This window comes from Homo sapiens, chromosome 2, assembly GCF_000001405.40.
Source record: "Homo sapiens chromosome 2, GRCh38.p14 Primary Assembly".
NCBI classification, from domain to species: Eukaryota; Metazoa; Chordata; class Mammalia; order Primates; family Hominidae; genus Homo; species Homo sapiens.
The window spans coordinates 72917626-72938024 of record NC_000002.12 but is presented as its reverse complement, the minus strand read 5'-3'; the positions used below and the strand labels follow the sequence as shown (position 1 = coordinate 72938024).

Below are 20399 nucleotides of genomic sequence, written 5' to 3'. Positions count from 1 at the left end.
GGTGCAACCAAGGAATAGTGGGACAAGGATGTGTCAGAAAGAGAGCAGAGGAGGTTGTGGCCTGGGGGCCCCCGCAAGGTCCCGCACTGCTGCAGAGGGAAAGGAGTGAGCCAGCAAATGGGAAGAGCTCAGGGTTCGACGGGAAAAGACACCTGAATGTGTGATTTGAGAGAAGGCCCCATTCTGGGCTCTGATCATCCCTGAGAGAGAGTGGTGAGGGGAAGATGAGGGAATGAGAGGCTGGGATGCCAGGTGGGTTGTCCATACAGACCCCAAGGTCTGGGGGACAGGAAGACTGTAAGCCGTAGCCAGTTTTTAACAAATCAGGGGGCATGACCGGGCCATGCAGCCACAGACGGCACACGTGCACAGCCGCACACATGCACAGCCGAACGCCCACAGGCACCCACACAGTCACACTCACACGCACGCCCACAGCCCTCCCAGACACTCCAAACACCCTCACATGCACTCACCCTCACACACACCCCAGACAGCAGATGGGGCGCTCGGGTAATTGGTTAAACCTGTTCCGATGTCTGGCTCCGCCTTGGCAGCGCCCGTCTGACAGGAAAGCTGGCTGGGCCTGCACCGCTCAGCCTGCTGGCCGCCCCTCCCCTCCTCTCCCCTTGCCTGCAGGGATGCCCTGGAGCAGGGCTACAGCAGAGGCCTGTGGGCCCTGGCCGGCTCCCTCTGGGCAGAGCCCGGTTCACTTAGCCAGAGCGCCTTGATGCCTCCTGGGAAGCGGTCCCAGCACGTGTGAGGAGGAGTTGGTGCAAACCAAGTGCAGAGATGCTAGGAGCGTGAGCCATACTGCTGCGAAGGCCATGGGGATGAGTCCTGGAAAGTTCCACGGACAAGAGGATGTGCAAAGATCAGTCCCTGAAGGTGAGGCGTGTGGATTAGGCCACCAGGGTTCAGAACAGGTCCCCTGAGCTCCCTCTACTTCAGCTGCGTACAATTTGGAGCTCCTACAGGTGCTCATGATACCTCAGCCCACGCGATCTGCAGGCCCTGGGAGGCCAGCCCAGCTGAAGGGAATGGCTGACCTAGGCTCCCTCAGGGAAGGGCTGGCCATGCAGCACCTGCACGCCGAGGCACCAGCAGGCCAGTGTCTGCTGGTCCTCACCCTCTGCAGGGCACCCGCTCTCCAGGTGGGAGGAGCCGTTGGGGGAGGGAAGGGAGCAGCAGTCCTCGTCTTCTTCCCTTCTCGGCTGCATCTGTGTCTCTTCAAGAGAGACTTTGGTTTGTTCCCTGGAGAGGGCCCAAAAACTCCCAAATTAGCAAACCTGGCAAGCCCGCAGCTCAGAAAATAGTTCATCCTGATTCCATGTTTTTCAGGCTCACAGAAGCCTTTATTAATGAAGTCACAACACCAATATTTACCGTCTGCAGGGAGAGGCACAACATGGGGGGTGGATGGGAGTGCGGCAGGGACTCCCCGCCCCGCCCCCCGCAGGCCTGGCCTCGGGAGACTGGCAGGTTTCCTTGGGTCCCTTCCAGCCCTTTATTCGGATGACAGGGGGTGCTCTGCTGTGATCTTCCTGGACCCCCTCCCCCTACCAAGTGAGGCAGGATCTTGAGAGGAACAGCTCACCCCTTTCTCTGTCCCCCACTGGGGCCAAAAGGATGACTCTTCCTCCCACCTTCCTTCCACACCTGGGCATGTGTGCTCCCAGAAGTGATCCCACCTGCTTGGCAGTGAGGGTCGCCATGTGGGTTAATCTGGACTTATCCATGTTAGGACTTTCAAGATGTGCAGAATGCATTCCTGACTGATGGAGGGAGAGGGGGTGTTGGGATGGGACAAAGCCCTTTGGTTTCTAGCACTGACTGGACACAAGTGAGGTGGGCAGAGGTGGGAGAGAGACGCTGAGAGTGCGAGTGGGACCTGGGTCTGTGCTCCCAGCAGAAGGACCTTGTGTGCTTGGATCCCTGCATGTGGCCCAGACAGCAAGGCTGGGTCTCTGACATCTTTCCAGTGAGTTCCACATTGATCAAGCACCCGACATTCCAGGTGGGAAGAACAGCATGAGCGAAGGCACAGCACAGGGAAAACCTGTGGCTCACTCAGGGACAGGGATGGGGATGCTGAAGCAAAGGGTACCGGGAGCAAGGCAAGAAGATGGGGCAAAGGGGCTCAGAAGGGGGTGAGTCTGCCCTGTTTGGGTGCAAGGAAGAGAAACCTAGCTGCAACATGGAGGGCCTCCTTTGAAGTGGACCTCATCCTTGACATTCACAGAAACCTCCCTAGAGGAGCAGGGCCCAGGCCAGGCCGGTGGCAGAGGGAGCTGGGCAGGGGGGTAGGGGGTGCTGCATTAGGGAGGTGTGGTTGGGAAGCCAGTCTAGACTCAACCCACTAGATGGGAATGGATGGGGCTGGGGAAGAGGAGAGGAAGCTTGAGGAAGATTCCCAGATTTCCTGTAGCTTGGGAAACTGTGTACATGTCTAATGCTGTTTGTCGAGGTGGGTGATCCTGGAGAAGCACAGATGGGTAGGTGCGTCCGGCTGTGGATGTATGGGCTTTGAGGTGCTGAGGGGCAGGGGGTGGAGCAGGCAGCTGGCTTGACGGGTCTGCAGCTCAGCAGAGGTCAGCTAAAGACACAGGCCAGGGAGCCAAAGAGAAGTCCTGGAAGTGGATGTGATCCCCACAAGGCAAAGGACATAATGAGGAGTCAGGGAGAGCAAGGACTGACCTGGGGGTGGCCAGAGGTGACAAGGCATGGATCACACTGAATGAACTCAGGCTGAAGGAGGAGTCAGAGCTACCGAAATGAAGGCAGAGCGGGGTGGGAGAATCCAGGAGGGCATAGCCAACAGATCAGGGAGCAGGTGAACCCAACAGGAAGTGGTTGAGTTTGGCCACAAGGGGGTGGCCAGTGACTGTGGTTGGTGACTGTCATTAGCACCGGCAGAATGGTGGCATGGAGGCCAAAGAGCAGAGGTTTCATGAGCACATGGGAGGTGAAGAAGAAAGAGAGGGGTCTGGATGTCGTAAGGGAAAGACTTAGGAATGCAGATTTGCTTGTCAGGAAACCTTCATCCTGACAAGTGGGACAAACAGAAGGGCAGGTGAACACAAGAGCTCAGCGGGCCCTGGCACGTTGCTCTTTCTTGGGCTGAGGAGGCCCTGAGTCACTGGGGACTGGTTGCAGGCTCAGCCTTAAGCCCTGTCTCTGCAGTCTCAACCTGCCCAGCGGTTCTCCAAGGACAGGTGAGCATCCTGGTGGGCCCACGACTTCGGACTGGAACCGTCAGCCTTTGTGAATGGTGTTCCCTCCCCCAGACCCCAATCCTCCCCTTTCCTCTGGTTTCTCCTCAACTGGAGAAGCCACCAGAGTCTCTAGGCAGAGGGAAGCACTCTCCCTCTCCCATTGAACTACCTGGGCCTGATTCCCACCTCTCAATACGTTAAGAAAGACCTGGGCCTGTCCTCCCTCAAGATACAGGATGGCCCTTCCCTATGTCTAGCCTGTTTCTCCTGCTGTGGAGCTGGAGGTAGAGACCAGGGTCCCCCAACAAAAGAGAGGAGTTAATGAATTACCCTTGACCCCCTCCACCAGTACCCCACCCCAGGCTCCCAGGCCCTGAACGCGTTTGCTCTACCAGCCCCCACTGGCCCTCAGAGCCGGAATCTACCACCCCAGGCTCTGGGGCTGGAGCTGGATGCCCGTGTCATTAAGAGAGAGACTTTTATTATTCCCATAGGGAAGGGGGACACTGGGGATCACTAAACTACAGTGGTGCCTGGAAAATAAATTAAAACAGAAATGCATCAAAACAAAAGGGAGATTGGAGACACGGAGAGCAGCTGGGAGGCTGCGGTGGCGGGCGGGCCCGCCCAGGCAGGCAGGCTCTCCGAGGAGAAGGCCAAGTGGTCCCAGGCCTCAGCCAGCCCATTGCTTGTCCCTCTGTCAATGGCGGCCCCGGGCTTCAAGCCCTGTGGGGCCATGACTCCAGGCCTCCCCAAAGCCTGGCCAGGGAGTGGCCAGAGTCCAGCTTGGGCCCACGCAGGGGCCTGGCCAGCAGCAAGCAGCACTCTGCCCTCGTGGGTTTGTGGTTGCCCACCCTAGTCATTGGAGGTGACATCGATGTCCTCCCCATTGGCCTGCTTCGTGGCAATGCGCCACCGGTTGATGTGATGGGAGCCCTTCTTCTTCTGCTCGGACTCAGGCCCTTCCTCCTCCAGCTTCTGCCGTTTGTACTTTGTCCTCCGGTTCTGGAACCACACCTTCACCTGGGCCAGGGAGGGAGGGGCACAGATGAGAAACTCAGGAGGCCCCCAGAGCAGCCACTGGGGCCTCAACACTCAGGCTGAGCTGAGAGCCTGATGGGAAGACTGAGGCTACATAGGGTTAGGGGCCCCAGGCCGGGGTCCCCTCTGACCAGCTGCTCCCATGGGTCTAACATTCACAGAAGGGGATGGCAGGGCAGGAAGAGGACACAGTGGGCCAGAGAGAAGGGTGGTTTTCCTGTTCCTCTCAAACAAAGGGTCACAGAGCTGCTGTGCATCCTAGCTCCTCTAGCCCCAGCAAAGCCAAGCCAAGGTGGAGGAGTGCAGGCTCTGGAAGCCGGCAGACATGGGACTCTACGAGTTTCTAGAGGAGAGATCATAATCGCTTCTTCACAGAGTGGATGTGAGTAGTAAATGAGAGAGCCTATGACCCACTGCGTGGGTTCCCATGATCTCCCACAGGGCCTAAAGTGGACACCACCCCACGGGCCAGCCCCATGCTCTTTTCCATACAGAGAGGCAGAATGGGCATGGTTTCATAACTAGGAGGTGGTGTTTATATCAAGAGCAGTGCCTGGACAGCCAGACTATCCCTGGGGGCACAGAACCCGCTGCTAGAGACTCCAACCTCACACACTGTGTGGTCTCCTTCAGGGGAGGCTTTCTTAGCAACCTCATGTAGCTCTCTCCCACCCCTCATCAGAGGCTGGAGCTGGGCAGGTGGGGGGCCTTGTCCCTCAGGTGCCAGCTCCTCAGGGTAGTCCGAAATCCACCAGTGAGACCTCATTCTCCTTGGACAGACAAGGACAGGGAGGAAGCGGGTCTGAGGGCAGCATTCTGCCCTTCACGGGCAGCTCCAGACCTTCTGTCCCCACAGCACTGGCTCCTGCAGCCCATCCAGATGTGGGAACAGGTCACACAAGGAACAGTCAGGAGAAGCCCAGGGGACAGAAGTGAGCTCTACTTTGAACCCAGGGAGCCCCCTATTCTGTGTCTGGCAGTGAGAGCCCTGGCAAGGTATGGGGTGGGGTTCAAACAGAAACTGGACAACCATCCTCCATGATGGAGGAGGCATGAGGCAGAGGGCAGGTCTATGGTTCTAAGCCATCTCCTCCAGGAAGCCTCTTTTCCCTCCTCCTCCAGCATCTGTTCAGTGTCCAGGACACAGCCCTTAATGTCCTCTCATGCATAATCTGGGAGGCTCATCCTGGCTCCTGGACTGGACTTAGTGCTTGTGGGCTGTGGAGAAAGCCTTCATCTGTCAACTCTCCCTGACTCCGTGGTTCTTTACTTGGCTTTGCAGAGTCAGGCCAGACCCAAACCATCTTCAGCGTTGGCAGGAGGATCCTGGGTACTGATTCTCAGCTAAGTCCCTTCCCCCTCTGGGCTTCAGTCCTTCATGCATAGAGGAAATGTTCTGGGGACACTTGCAGCTGCCAGGGCACCTCTTGGATTCTTGCTCCAGAGGCCCCCCTTGGGGAGGAGGTGCAGAGGGCAGGCTACAAGGCCTGGATGGTTTCCAGGAAATGACAGCACATTTAAAAGCAAGTGGATGTGGCCAACTGCAGCTGTGCAGACGGTGCTGCGTGGCAGAGTTGCGGGTGAGGAATGGTGGGTAGCCTCTTGGTTTTGGCAGCAGCAATGATGCTGAGGAGAGATCCTTGAACCCTGGGCAGGGCTGAGGGCAGGCCTCAGAAAGACTGCTCCTGCTCCCAGAGAACTGGGTAAAGCACAGGCCTTAGCCACAAGGCCAAGCAGTGCATGCAGAGGCAGGCCTGGCCCCTGTGCCCTGCAGATGGTTTCATGCCCAGGAGGTGCTGCCCCTACACCCTTCCCAGGCAGTCCTCTCTGTCCCACCTACCCCAGGACTTCCCCTCACAGTCCCCTCTTGCCAGAACTTCCACTGCGCCATCTGCCCTTGTTTGAGAGCACTGATTTTAGAGCACTGGCATGGGGATGGGGGCAGCTGGCATTCAGTGCCTGCAGAGCAGCCAGCCAGGGGCTGGAAAGCTGGCCCAGGAAGGGTTGGTGCCCGGCCTCGATGGATGGAGTGAGGGCAAGGGGATTCTCCCCTCATTTCCAAGCCCATAGCCTGCACATCTCACCTAGGCCGGCCGTGGAGGATGGCAGAGGCTCTGGGCACAGGCTGCTGGACTCCAAGCCCACCTATCTTTGGGCGCAGGGCCACCTGGACCCTGGGTGGTTCTCAGCACAACCATTTGGCAGCAGCCTGGCCCCTGCCCCCCACCCTGGAGCCTGCTATGACTGTGCCAGTCAGTGGGCGGGTGAGCTCACCCTGCCTCCTGTGCGTGACTCAGGGCCAGATGCAGGGCCGGGGTGTCATTCCTGAGAAGCCCAAGTGGGCTGGCCGAAGGTGACTGTCAGGTGATGCGGGCAGTACCAGGGACCGGGGGCCCTTTTCTGTACCTTCCTCTTTCCACATGCATTTCCAAGTGTCCTTCAGGAAGGAGACTGACGGTCACATTGGCCTGTAGTGGGACGGGCCCAGCATGCTGCCCTTGACTAGCAACACTGGCTCAAAGAAGGAAAGCTTTGGATGGCGACTTCAGGCACAGGATAGGCCAGAGGCAGCTTCCTAGGGCACCCAAGTGAAAGGTGATTCTGAATATTTTCTCCATGAAAAATACTGGGGTCAAGTAGGCATCTCTCTAGAGGCAGGGACATAAACCCTCTCCCTGTGCAGCCTGGCCATCTTCCGGAGAACAGCCTTGGGCTGAGTGTCCAGATGCTGTTTACAAAGACTGCAATAACAGGGTAGTGCTTATGACTTCATAGCATTAATGGAAACGCCAGGATGCACAAGGCTGGCACAGTGTGATCACAACCATAGAAAAACAAAATCTACACACGGGGAAAAAAGACTAGAAGGAAATATACCTAAAGTGTGGGTGATGTTTCTTTCTTCTTTCTACTTTTCTGAATTTTCCTTAATAGATTATTGATAATGGTAGTTATTTTTTACTTGGAAAAAGAAAAGGAACTGGGCTCTGAGTGTATTAGGAGATGAGAGTGACATTTCATGACCTCTCCAACCCAGCCAGGCAACTCTGGATCCTTCAGAGCCCCTTCCCTAGAGAAAACAGGCCCTGGAAAGGAGCTGGGTCATATGGTATGGCTTGGAGGCTGGATCTGTCCTGCACATGCCTCCCCATCCCCAACACAAACACACTACTCACCTCTCTCTAAGCCCCGAGGTACAGTTGGAATGTTAGCTGGAGGACCCCTTGCCCACTCTGACCTCTCTGCTGTAGCAAGAGGTCCCTTGTGGTCTCCCAAGTCCTCATTTCACTGTGAAGTGAACATCTCAGTTTCTCAGAGGCCACATCCTTCCAAAAGTCTCCATTCTCCTGACTTACCAACCCTGGAATACTCTCCTTAGCCTTCAAGACCCTGTCCTGATGTTCCTTAATGGTCCTGCCCCATCACCTGCCTGTAGTTCCTTAGTACCTCTTCCCAGTCTCAGTAACAGTGACCCCCACTGTGCACTAATTTATTTATTTACGTCTGCCTCCTCACCAGACTATGAGACTGGAGAGCCAAACTGTTATGTTAGTCCCAGTGCCCTGCCCAGAGGACATGTTCCATGTATAGTCATCTGGCTGGACAAGCCTATGCTCTAGGCAAGAGGTACCTGGGCCAGACCTGGAAAACAGGAGAAAATGAACAGAAGAGGGGTAGAATTCTAATCAGCAAAGGCTTTGAGAAGTGCTCAATGATGGAGAAACTGGATCTTTTTCTTAGTTTTGTGGACACTTTTGCAAGAGGGCCAGTTTTTAATATTCCACATGGTAAATTGGATTGGCCACTTTTAGGGGAAGTTGGAGGAGGGACACCTACTGCTGGGCAGAAGAAGGGTTGGCTTGAGTCAGGCAGAATGAAGAAGGTGAAACTGCTATGGATGAATGAATGTATCAGTTTGCTAGAGGACTGATCAATGTATGCATTAATAAATGAAGACATGCATGCAAGAACAAAGGGAAAAATGAACTAACAAACAAGCAAACTATGGCTCCAGCCGATATTTCAGAACTAATCAGACTTTACTTTGGAATAATCTGCTATTCTGAATGAACGAGGTCTGGATCCCTTCTTTTTCACCACTCCTGCAAATGGAAAAGTCTGTGGCTCCAGGCCCCTGCACACTTTCAGGTGAATACGTGTCCTGTCTTCAAAGATTTCAAATATCCCAGAATGGACAGGAGCCTGGAGATATCAGTCAAGTCACCCCTCAGCTTTCTCTCTTCCCTGGGGACCCATTTCCTATCATTTGATCATGTGGGCTGTTCCCACTCTCAAGGTCAAGCCCAATCAATGCCATGCTAAGTTCAACCTTCACCTCAGTAAGCTGAGGTCACCTCCAGCTCCCCACCAACCATAACCATGATCTCCCTAAGCCTCCCTGTCTCCTCCTCTTTCAGCCCAGCCTGGACCCTTCCTCTGTCTCTCTCAGGGAGACATCATAAGATTCACCTCAGGACATGTTGGTCCCAGCTCCTCACAGAACCACTCTAATCTCCTTTATCTCCCCCTCATCCTCCCACACAGGACTCCTGGAACATGAGATGCAGAAGTTCTTGAAGAAAAGCCAAGACTTAGAGAAGAGATGTGGACACACCGTGAGCTAGGAACAAATGTCTCTTGATTTTTCCCTAAAATTCAGGTCACTTGGATATCCCCCTCTTATCCATCCCTCTAAGGCCAGAACATTCCAGAGCAGGAAAGGACCCTCCAAATCCTCCTTTCCATGCCTCTGAGGGGAAAAAGCCATAGGCAGGTGACCGTAACTCCTGCCTCCCAAGATCTCCCTGCCCTTGGGCTCCAAGATGGTGGCTCTATCTTCATCTGCCTGCCTCAAACCCTGCCCTTCTTTCCCTCCAACCTAGGATCCTAGGCATCCCCCCAAGTCTTCCAGGTCTGAGGCCTCCTGGAGCCATCTTCTCAAGCGTTTCTATCCTGACACCCCTCAGCCCACAGCTGTGACCTCAAAGGGGACCCTAGTCATTCTTCCTGTGCATGTTTCACAAATGTGCAAGCTTTGCACTTAGCCTTCATCACTCAGTAAGAAATCTTCAAAGCCACAGGCCACGTTTCTGTACCCTTTGCCTTCACCGCTCAGCTAAACTCTAACCCAGGCAAGGTCAAGAAACACCTGCTGATCTGTTCAGAGCAGAAGGAGTAGCTGGAAACACTGACCAGTTGATCAGCCTGGAGCAACCAGGTGCTTTCTCTCACTCCCCCTAAAACTAACTTACCCCTGCCCCCGACACACACACGAACACACACAAAAGCATGCAAGCTGCACTCCATGTCATATGACTGCCTAATGGCATCTAATGTGTACCTATGCTATCATCTGACCTTTGGGCATCAATCACATAAAGCCCGTTGGTGCCCCACATGGGCAGACACATGTTGCACACACCCATTACACATACTCATTAAACTTGAGCCTCTGCAATGACCCAGGCCCAGGTCTGCCCAACCAGCCACCAGGACTGAAGCTTAGACTGGTACCTTCCTGGTCATACTCCAGGGCGGCACCCAAGCAGTGAGGAACAAGTCATTAGAACCTGAAGGGAGAACTAGCCCTTGCCCAGGGCTCTTCCCTCATCTCCTAGATTGAGGCACTGGCCATCCCAGCACGAATACCCCACTCCCACTAAACACACAGAGTCACCCAGGTTGCCCACCTCCTAGCACCCGGCTAAAGCTTGGGGAGTGCACAGACTTCTGAGATCTGGATTAAGAGCTCATTCACACACTGATCTGAGTAACCCTCCGAGAAGTTTTATCCACAAACTGGTATATGCATAATCTAAATCAACAATCAGCTGTGAAAGTACAAGGGAAAGATAGAAGGAGAGGGACAGGGAGGGAGCAATGACAGCAGAGAGCAAGGGGAATGACTGATAAAGTTAGTGTGTATTTGTATGGGCAAAGAGAAATGTGCTCATTAATTCAATACATGTTTATTGAGCATGTACTCCATCCCGGGCACTGAGCTGGGTCCTGTAAGAAACAGACAGGCTTGGCCTCTGCCTCCCAGAGCTAAGATGCTCAGGCCTGTTATTAATCATGATCACCCAAATAACTGTTTTTAAACTTTTTCCTGCACCCTATCCTGGACTTCCTAAGAGAATCTCCTGGGTGAAACCCAGGAATCTGTATTTTAAGATCTCCCTGAGAGACGCATACTGCTGGTCTACAGATTGATGTTTGGACATGGCAGATAATTAAGTAATAACAACAAAGTTTGATGCATATCATGATAGGCAGGGGTTGTGTGGTGAGCTCTGAGAATGTGGAGGAGGTAGTATACAGAAACACAGAGAAGTAGAATGTAGAGGAGTCACAGAAACTCAGCACTAGAAAAAACCCTGGAATTTGTGTCATTCAATCTCACAGATACAGAAACTGAGGCCCAGACCCAGAGAGAAGACAAAGCCAGAGCCAATAATAGATAACCATTACCAGACATATGAATATACTGTTTGTCAGTTGCGAAATAGCTCTATGGAGATGAAGTTTGAGATGAATGGTGGAAACACAGAAGGTAAAATAGATGACAAAGATAATGAACAAATGGGTAAATAGTTCTTATTGTTAGGAAGAACATATAACTAATAGAAAATCGGAAATATAAATTAGCCAGTTTTGGGGAGGCAGTTTAATGAGAGCAGACAGAAGTATATGGCTAGATGTAAAACAGCTACGGGGTGGGACAGATTAGAGAGCTCTGGAGACAGATACAGATATTAACAGTAGAAATGCATGGCAGGGGGGCTGTTGGGGGTGACTGATGCTTGACAAATAGCTGATAGCTGGAAATGACAGGTAAGCTTGCCTGGTAAGTACCAAGAGGCGGATAGAGAAGTAGCTAATTATATAGCCTGGCTCCGTATGATAAGTTATGAGGGCAACAGAAAGGCAATGTTGATGACGGAAACTGCATAAGGGAGGAAGAACGCTGGACTAAGAGGACACACAGGTTTGGATCTTCTTATGCTACTAATCTGACATACTACCTTAAAGGGAAGGGACTAGGGATGGGGATTAATATTATTTGAGCTCATATGAGGTACCTTTAATCATTAAACAACTATTTTCTCAATGAGGAAACCAGAGCTCAGAGAGGTTAAGTGACTTGCCCAGGGTTACACAGTAAGTTAGCAGGGAGGCAGGTATTTAAAATCGTGTTTGCCCACCTGGGAAGCTCTGTCCAAACCATCTCTCCATCTCAGGGTCTTCACCTGGAAGGACAGGCTGCCACGGCAGGTTCCCCAGGCTCAAACCTCCCCTCATTCTTTTTGTTGTACCATATGCAAAAAGCAGCTCATTTACAGACGGGAAGAAGATTAGCCCTGAGTTTTGATAGTTAATGAAGCAGGATACGTTTATGTTATTCTATCTGGTTTTGTTTTAAATATATGTTTGAAATGTCTCATAATAAAAATGAAAGAAACAATCAGTCCGTTTACTAACTGGCATTGTTAGGAGCAAATATTGACAGGCAGCTAGGTTCAGTTTGAAAGAGAGTTAATTAAAAATGCTCTCACTGAGCTAAAAAATTGAAAGTTTAAAAACAATGACATTATTTCAACAAGTGTTAATCTGTGGGTGGTAGGATTAAAAACCATTTTTGTTTTCTTACAGTTCTGCAATTAAAATTTAATAAATATTACTGTTTAAATGAAGTTAATTATAAACACCATTCTTAAACTGACACCTTGTTTCAAACAATAATTTTAAAACACTGCCAGGAGGGAAAAGGGAGTGTTATTTTATTAACTTATTTTTAAAAACACATCTTTCTTTGAAACGTTTTTAAAATTAACTCTTGTTTTGTAAGCTTTTTCCCTGCAGTTAGAACAGCCCAGCTAGTACATCTGAAAACGCACGGGTCCTGCCTCCGACCCGTGAGCGATTTGTAGATTAAGTGGGGCAGCAGACAGATATGACGACAATAGATGCCAAAATGCCACTGAAGGAGGAGAGGGTAAGGTCCGCCGAAGAAAGCTGCGGATGAAGTTTGGGTCTGGGCTCCCTCACTAAGCCCCCTTCCTACTCTGGCTGCTAAAGGGAGGCTCCGGCTGCCCCCCATGCCGGGCATCTTCTCACTGCCCGGGACTTGGGAGGGGACGGTGGTGTAGTAGGGTCGAGACTAGGAGGAAAGGGGAGCGGAAGGTGAAAAGTCAGCCGGGAGGTAGCTGGGAGACCGCGGAGCCGGCCTCTCGCAACTCTGGGAGCCGGCCGGCACGCAGAGACTGAAATCCACCTCCAGGGCAGCAGCTAGGCTGAGGGTCGCTGAGCCCCACTCCAACACGTCGGACCTGGGTGGACCAAGAGCTTATGCAGTGATCCCAGGCAGCATTTATTTATGGCAAAGTCTACTTACAATGAACCCAAATCCACCTCCCTATAACTTTCATCTAATTCTTTAATTTTTTCCCTTAAATTAACGATCAGTTACAAAAACACTACACGGTAATTGTTAATTTCACTCAGTTCAAGCCCAGGCGCCGTTGGAGTTTATTCCTTCTCCCATTCGACAGCCTTTCCAGTGATTCAGAGAAGCACCTGAGTACCCGGGGTCTATTTCCCACCAGGCCCAGGCCACTCAGATGCTCTGCGCGCGCACACCGTGGCTTCCACAGCCCTATCAGCCGGCCTGGGCCGGATCAGAGCAACCCTCGGGCCCCAAGCAGGGGCTGGCCCCTCCCTGGTTAAGCCCCTCTGTTGGTAGTCTGAGGACACCTGGGCTTTCTCCCCAGACGCTCCTGGCTGGTGGGCAGCCAAGGCCCCGCCAGTTTTGCCCAGGAACAGCAGCAAAGCCAGTGCGGACCGGCTCCCCGCAGGACTATGAGCGCCCCGACACAGTGGCGGGAAAAGGGCTGCAGGAATGCCAGGGCTGGAGCCAGCTCCAGTGGCCTCGGTGCTGCCTGCGCTGCCCGCTCCCGAGGCGACCCGCTTCCTCCAGGGAACCTGGTCCCCCCGTGAGGAGCTTTGGGAGCCGGGCTCGGGATACAGTTTGCATTTACTCTGCCTCCTGCTAGGTCTTTAGCGCTTGACAAAAGTCCTGCGGGCTCAGCAGGCTGCACGCAGTCTCGAGGAAGAGGCTCTAAAGACGGGCTTGACCGCAGCGCCGCGGGGAATGGGGGCCTTTTGGAACCCAGCAGGGCTGGGCTGGGGCGGGCTCAGGGCCTCTCCTGCACCCGCGCACCCTCACCTCCACCCGGGCTCCGGGCGCAGGGCAGGCCGCGACCGGGGGTGATTACCTGCGTCTCGGAGAGGCTGAGACTGCCGGCCAGCTGCTTCCGCTCGGCGCCCACCACGTAGTGGTTCTTCTCGAAGGCGCGCTCCAGCCGCAGCAGCTGCGAGGGCGAGAAGGCCGTGCGGATCCGCTTGGGCTTGCGTGCGAAGGGGCCGTGCAGAAGCAGCCCGTCCTGGGGCACGTCGCTGGCTGCGGCCCCGCCGCCGACGGCAACACACGCAGGTACAGACAGAGAGAAGGGGCGCCGTGAGCCGGGGCCCAACAGAGCCTGGCCTCGCGCCCTGCTCCCAAGCGCCCTGCCCTCTCCATTCCTTGACACGCACACACACGCCATTTCTCCCTTTGCCCTTTTGCCGCCCCTTCCCTAAGTCCACTCCCCTCCGCAACACCTCCCCGCACTCGAGAGCCACTCCGCGGGGGAACGCGGGGAATAACAGCTCTCCAGATCCCTCTGTTAAGCCAAGAGATGGGGCAGGCCGGACGAGGCGTGGACCCACATTCACAATGCCTGGGGCAGCGGAAGAGGCCAAGGGGTGGGGAAGAAAAGTCCATGGCGCTCTTTCTCCGCCCTTTCCCAGGGGCGCTGCCCTGGCCGCCAGCCCCAACGATTTGCTTTCAGTTAACTGGTCGCAAAGCATCTCCCTCCAAGAGGACCCAGGGTAGAGGCAGGGCTGGGGGTCAGGAACGTGATAAGGGGAGCAGCGGGGTGCTAGGCACACCTTTGCCAAACACAGATTCAAGAACTAGAAGGTACACAAGGAGCAATCCCTTCACACCTGCTTGCACTAGTCTTGCGGCTGAATGCTCAGGCTACTAACTCATTAAAAACTCCTGCCAGCACGCTCTAGCTCTGTCTTGCAGGGGGTATAAATAGGCCAGTGGCTAGGTCAGTGGTCCAGGCAGCACCTGGAAGTGGAAAGTCAGGCTCCTTCTTCCCCTTTCTCCACCTCTCTCTCCCCCAGGCCTTGGCGGTCCAGAGACCCAGCCTCTAGGGTAAGCCCCCAACCCCCTATCCCAACACACACACTGGAGACTCCAAGTACTGTCTGGTGGGAAAAGCTTCATCCCTGCTTCATCCCTGAATAGTCCCTTGCTAAAGAAACATGTGTATAAATATCTAGATGTCATCTTTCTCTCTAATATATATAGATATAGATATATTGGTTTCTGCATGGGCGTGTGTAAATATATGTTCCAGCCTCCCTACTGTCTTTTTTCCTATCTACTGTATAGGATTTTTAGAGTGTGACTGTCCCTTAGCAAATGTTGGCCAGCATAGGGACTCAGCTCCCACATGCAGGAGGAAGGGATAACACTGGACTGGATGAAGCTGGGGTAGGGGAGATGGGGTCAGAAACTATCAATGCCAAAACAAGCCTCTACCCACAGCGCCTGTCTCAATGAACACCCCACTAGGCCCTCACACAATCTCTGGCTTGGTTGCACATGCTAACAGACTCATAACAGGCCCTGACAAAATCACCCATGGATTCTCATGTAAGGGCACATAACAGCCTCCTGATGCACCAAAAACACGGAACCCTAGATGGATTATTTTGACAGAATTAGCTGTTGGGATTGACTGATCCAATTAATTTCTTCAGAGATGGCTACTGGTTGGACTTGATTTGACCTGTTGCTTTGCTCTAAGACAATCACCTGGATAATTCAGTTAACATCTCCCATCTCTGGAAACATCTATGTAAGTGAATCAAAAGCAGATAATTGAGATGCTGTAGCTAAAACTCTCCAGGTAACTGTTCTTGTCCCTCTGTTGGTGGAAACTCCCTGACCTTACTTCCTCCAAGTCTCTGGGCTTTGGTTACCTAAAGAAGCCAAGTTTTTGCTGGAGTTTTCTGTGGAACAGAGTTGCTAGGATTGCGGGGCTAGTGCCTGGAAGGGGTCAGTCAATAATCTCCAGTCACCTTATCAATTTCAACTGGTTGGATCTGTGCAGCCACAAAAATGGTGGGACCACATCACAGGGAGATGGGTGAGGGACACCCCATTTGATTATTCAAGTGGCGCAGATCTAGGGCCCTCAGGTCCGACTGAAGAGAAGTTTGACTTGGGATAGTGGAATAGACAGATGGTCAGGGGAGGTGGTCTGGCAGAGATGAGTAAAGGGCAGAAAAATATGGAGCCTGCTCCAGGTGGGGAATAAGGAAGATTAAAGTCTCTGGGGTGGGGCCAGTGAGGTAGGCCAGGGAAAGGTGGGTGGAAAGCAAATGCTTCTTGTTAATGTTAATAACTTGCTTCAAAAAACAACATTGTTATGAACCTGGGTGAAGTCCCAACAGTGGTTTCCTCTGGACAAATGAACCAGAGAGGGAGAGAGAAAGCCTAGCTCATCCCAGCATTGGCAGGGTTTGGCCTCAGATGCTGGGCTGGCCCAGGTTGGTCAGAAGTGAGGCTGCAGTGTGGAAAGCCCCGTAAGTGTGTATGAATAGGAGGCAGAGGTGTGAAGGGCAGTGTGGGGCTGAGGAAGCAGGTCTGCAGTCTGCCCCAGTGTCTCTGACTTAGTGATTATTTTGTAATTATGTGGTATATGTCAGTCACCTGTGTGGTGGAGTGCTCTGTGTTTGTCTTTATAAACCCAGATGAGAGGATGAAGGCAACAAGCTTCTGTACCAACATACATGCCCCTTTGCCTCAAGTCTGGTTATTTTAGGGGGATGCTAGGTTGCTTTGGGTCTACCTTACTGAGAAAATGGCCCCAGGTCATTGTCATGTCCAGTTGTGGTAGACAGCATGTGTCCTAAAGGGTATATTCACATGCATGTGCAAAAATACAGGGGTCCTTCTAACCCTATCACAGAGAAGCAGGAGACTGCAGGATGAGTCAAGATGCTAAGTGATGACAGGTTATTTGATTCCAAAAGAATAAGGACGTTTCCCTGTTAGAAAGAGGATGTTTAGTACAACACCAAACATCCTGAGAAACAGATCAATTGCTACATGTTTCTGCAAAGACAAGGGTGATGCCTTAGGTGCACAGGTACCTGTACCGCCCCGCCCCCCGACCTGTGGGAAGGAGGCCTGAACCACCCCTACCAGGGGTTCAGTTTCCCTTGCCTGGACCACAAGGGCAGAACAAACTTGGGTCTAGGGTGCGGCCTGTTTGGACGCAGTAATTCTGGGCTGTGAGAACGGGCTGTCAGTTTCGGACTAGGACAGTTAGCAAAGTGGAAAGGGACTGGTATAGCCGTCCCTGGAGCTAGGGAAATGAATACCCCTCTCCTCCCTGCTTCCCTACCCCTCCGATTTTTCTACAGCCACTCTTTTAGGGCCCCTTCAAGGCAATGGCTGGGAACTAGCACAAGAGATTCCCAGGAATGAGGGAGCTGGAGGTGGGAGCTAGGGATCCGAAGCACCCGGGGTCCGAGCTGCAGTCTTCGAGCCGCAGTCTTCGCTGGAGAGGCCGCCGCCGGCCAGGGGCTCAGGGCCGGACGGCTGGGCGGAGGGCCCTAGGGCTAGGAGAGGGAGAGGCAGGACAGGCGGCGGAGATAACCTCATTCCCCGTCCTCCTGCCAGAACAAAGGCGACCTTAGAAGCTCCGGCCCATTGTAGTTGCGGGTCCCGGGGGGCTGGGTCTCTACAGCCCCCTCCAGGCGTTGCTCCTAGACCCGGAAAGTTCCTGATCTCGGGGAAACAGTACCGAAATGCGGCCCACTCCTGGTCTTCGTCGGCTCCTCCCCTTCGGTGCTCGCGAGCGGCCCCGACCTTCGGAGTCCTGGACGATTCCGCATTCGCTTTTCCCCTTCCAGCGCCTCGGTTAGCGGAGACGCCGCTTCCCCGCGCGCCGGGACCGCGCCGCCCAAGCGCTGCGCAGAGAGCGCAGACATGTTCCTTTTCGTTCGTGTGGGGTTTCGTTTGTTGCATTAAGACGGGGCTGAAATGAGCATCGCTGAGACCCGGTTCTCTAGAAAACGCGGCGCCGGAGGGCCCGAGACGGCTCGGCTCCCAGCCCAGAGGCCTGGCCGGGACTGGAGGGCGTAGAGCCGCCGGGGAGCGCATCCGTCTGCAGCGGCGACGATGGACCGCGAAGCAACAGCGCTACAGGGTTCGAAAAGTCCTTCAGTGCCCAACGGATTTCCGGGTCCGAAAATGCAGCCACACTTGGCTCCATCTCCGCGTCCAGACTCGGTTCTTGAGGGAAAAATCCAACTGTTTGTGCTACTCGATAACGTACCCGCTGGGACTGATGGCTCAGGAAGCGGCGGCAATTTCCAAGAGGGTTTTGCGAAGGATTTATCCGCCTCGCCTGACTGGAGACGCTCAGAGCCGGAGCTGGATTTCTCTCCAGGCGCCCCCGGCCCTCGGCGCCCGGAGGCAGGAACCGCGGTGCGGAGGGCGTCAGGGGCTGGATTCGAAGCCGAGGGTGCGGCCCAGGATGCCGACTCCGGACAAGCTGAACGGCTGGAGGCCACAGGACTTAGGAACGACCCCGCCCTCTCCTCCGAGCCCCTATCCCTCCACAAGCCTCCAACCCGCCAGCCCCTCGGCCGCGGCGGCCCGCGGGCTCACACACCGCCCCAACTACAACTCGGCCCCTGGGCGCCAGGTTTCGAGACCCAGGCTTCGGATCGAGCCCACGGAGGACCAGGGTAGATTGCTCAATTTTAAAGATATCCTCATGTTATCAGTAAACATTTATTTTTAAGTGGCAGAAACTCTTGCCCAAGGCAGATGACATTGTAGCATTTTTGTTTTTTCGGATTTGGATTTGGGCAAGTCTTTGAAATCTTCAAAGAGGAGGCAAGGCTACCCACAACAATTCTTATTCTAGTAATTACATTCTCTGGTTTTGTGGTATCTGCCAGGTCAGCATCTATTGGCCAGGTGGGACTGAAAAAATTGCCTGACAAATCGGGACCTGGGAAAGCGGTTTTCTGTGAAAGTCAAAGTGTCAAGAGATAATTTTCATTTTATTATCTAAACAACTGTGCCAAACATCTAATTGACTGTAGACCTAGACTACAGACCGTCACATTAGCTCCTGGAGCCGAAGCTCCAGCCATGTCCCTTTCATTTGTTTCTCTAAAAGCCGGGTTACCTAGCTCTGAGCCATAGACCCTTCTCACAAGGCTGTGGTCTGGTCTACACTAACAAAATAAAACTGGAAACTAAAGTGATGCCTGTACAAATCAAGGCCACTCTTTAAAATAAAATTTAAAAAAAAAGAAAAGAAAAAAACAAACTCCAACAAATTTCAAGGAAGAAAACGAACTCCAACAAATGCAACTCTCTTTTCTCCGGGAAAGACAAATAATTGAAACGTGTGTGTGTGTGTGTGTGTGTGTGTGTGTGTGTGTGTAGGGCCAGTGGAGGATCTTTATTAGCAAGCCGATTGCTGGATGCAAACTCCGGGGTTCGGACTGGCTACGACCTTAAAAGCCCTCTGCCCCCGCCCCCTGCCCGGGAAAACTGTCCTCGGTATTCCAGCAGCCGGGTGGGCTCCCTCCCGAAGGCGGCGAGCAACGGCGGAAGCCAGTTTGCTTACTGCAAACCTTCCCCACCTTGGGTAGGAGAGGCACGTGTGACTTGGAGAAGTCGGGCCAAGGTTGCCGAGAAACATCCCAAGACAGCCAGGCCCTCCACACTGAACATTAACTCTCCGATTCGCCCTCCCTGCTGCCCTTGCTTCCCCCAGAGCTGGGGCACGCGAATGGACTTTCCCCCGCCCGGACGCGCCAGCGAAGGCTGAGGTCTCGGAGGTGGTGGTGGACTTGCGAGAGAAGCGTGGTGCGAGGTTAAGCCGGGCGGAGGGAGAGCGGGAGGAGTTGTACTCTGGTCTGAGACTGGCTCAGCTGGGAGAGAGAATTGGGCAGGCTGTGGCGAGGGCCAGCACAGGCTCCGAGGACGCGCCTGGGCTTGCGTCCGAACTGGTATATTTTCTAGAAAAGCCTGGAGGTCTCCACCTGCTTTCCTGGGAGGGAGACCTACGCGGCGAAGGCGCGGGTGGATGCCGCACAGCTCTTCCCTGCCTGGGAATCTACCTCCGCGGACCTGCAGCCTTCCCGGCAGTAACTTCTAAACAGCCCCGCGCGCCCCCGAGCCTCCCCCGCATCGCCGCAGCACGGGCGCCGGCCGGCCGCCTCGGCGGGCACAGCGTGGACACTCACCCTGGAAGCGGTGGCCGAAGAAGCGGTTCCGCAGGACCCAGGGGTAGAAATGGAGAGGGTCCCGGTGCTGGGCGCCGAAGAAGGAGTGCGGGGGCTGCAGCGGGGAGGCGCCCAGCTGGTGCGCCGGATGCACGGTCAGCGCGGGGTGGTTCATGGCCTCGGGGAACACGAGCTCGGGCCCACCGTAGAGCGAGCGGCCCGCGCCCGCGGCGGCCGCGGCAGGGAAGCCACTCACGAAGGCCGCCTCGGCCGCGCTGGGGTGAGGGTAGTTGAGCGCCGTGGGCCGGAGCGGTTCCTCGGAGGCGGCCGCCGCCAGGAGATGGGAGCCCGCGCCCCCGCCGCCAGTGCCCCCGCCGGTGCCGCCGTCCTTGGCCACCAAGGACTCTATGGTAAAGCCGCGCTTGGCCGCGGGCTGGAACATGGTCGCAGCCGCGGGAGCTGTGCGAGGCAGCCGGGCTCTGGGGAGCGCTCCGCGTCCTGGCGCCGCCGCCTTGCGGGGTGTGCACCCAGCCAGGCACATGCACACCCGCCCGCACCCCTCACCTCCCCCGCCCGCCCGCTCGCGCTCGGCCCCCGCGGGCGAGCCAGGCGCGGAGCGGCGAGGGGTGTGTGAGCGAGCGACCGCGGGGTCCGGCCACAGCGTACGGCCAGGCGCGGCGGCTGCTGCGGCGGAGCGGGCAGCTCCAGGCGCCCGCACAGGCGCGGGCTCCGTGCTAGGCTGCGAGCTGCCAGTAAGGCCCGAGGGTT

At 54.6% G+C, this 20399-nt stretch overlaps 1 protein-coding gene across 2 annotated transcripts in view, besides 4 other annotated features; it reads right to left on the bottom strand.

The window, feature by feature from the left end:
- Positions 222 to 899: an enhancer, noted in NCBI's record as "H3K4me1 hESC enhancer chr2:73164255-73164932 (GRCh37/hg19 assembly coordinates)". NCBI's record gives its function as "activates a minimal SCP1, AML or CMV promoter by ChIP-STARR-seq in primed H9 embryonic stem cells {active_cell/tissue: H9 hESC(primed)}" and the evidence as "EXISTENCE:reporter gene assay evidence [ECO:0000049][PMID:30033119]".
- EMX1 (empty spiracles homeobox 1) overlaps positions 3134 to 20399 on the bottom strand; it is an 18703-nt gene continuing 1437 nt past the window's right edge. The window contains exons 1-3 of one of the 2 annotated variants that reach the window (NM_004097.3): positions 19653 to 20399; positions 13532 to 13716; positions 3134 to 4238 (exon numbers count right to left, since the gene is read on the bottom strand). The exon at positions 19653 to 20399 is cut by the window's right edge and continues 107 nt beyond it. In NM_004097.3, the coding sequence (NP_004088.2) occupies positions 4071 to 4238; positions 13532 to 13716; positions 19653 to 20172 (873 nt within the window). In that variant the 5' untranslated portion in view covers positions 20173 to 20399 and the 3' untranslated portion in view covers positions 3134 to 4070. The remainder of the gene's footprint in view (positions 4239 to 13531; positions 13717 to 19652) is intronic. The other variant, XM_011532697.4, reaches the window with a different exon arrangement.
- Positions 20101 to 20220: a silencer, noted in NCBI's record as "silent region_11629". NCBI's record gives its function as "represses an Ori minimal core promoter by ATAC-STARR-seq in GM12878 lymphoblastoid cells {active_cell/tissue: GM12878}" and the evidence as "EXISTENCE:reporter gene assay evidence [ECO:0000049][PMID:35858748]".
- Positions 20291 to 20399: part of a biological region, named in NCBI's record as "H3K4me1 hESC enhancer GRCh37_chr2:73144013-73144629", that runs on past the window's edge.
- Positions 20291 to 20399: part of a silencer, noted in NCBI's record as "silent region_11628", that runs on past the window's edge. NCBI's record gives its function as "represses an Ori minimal core promoter by ATAC-STARR-seq in GM12878 lymphoblastoid cells {active_cell/tissue: GM12878}" and the evidence as "EXISTENCE:reporter gene assay evidence [ECO:0000049][PMID:35858748]".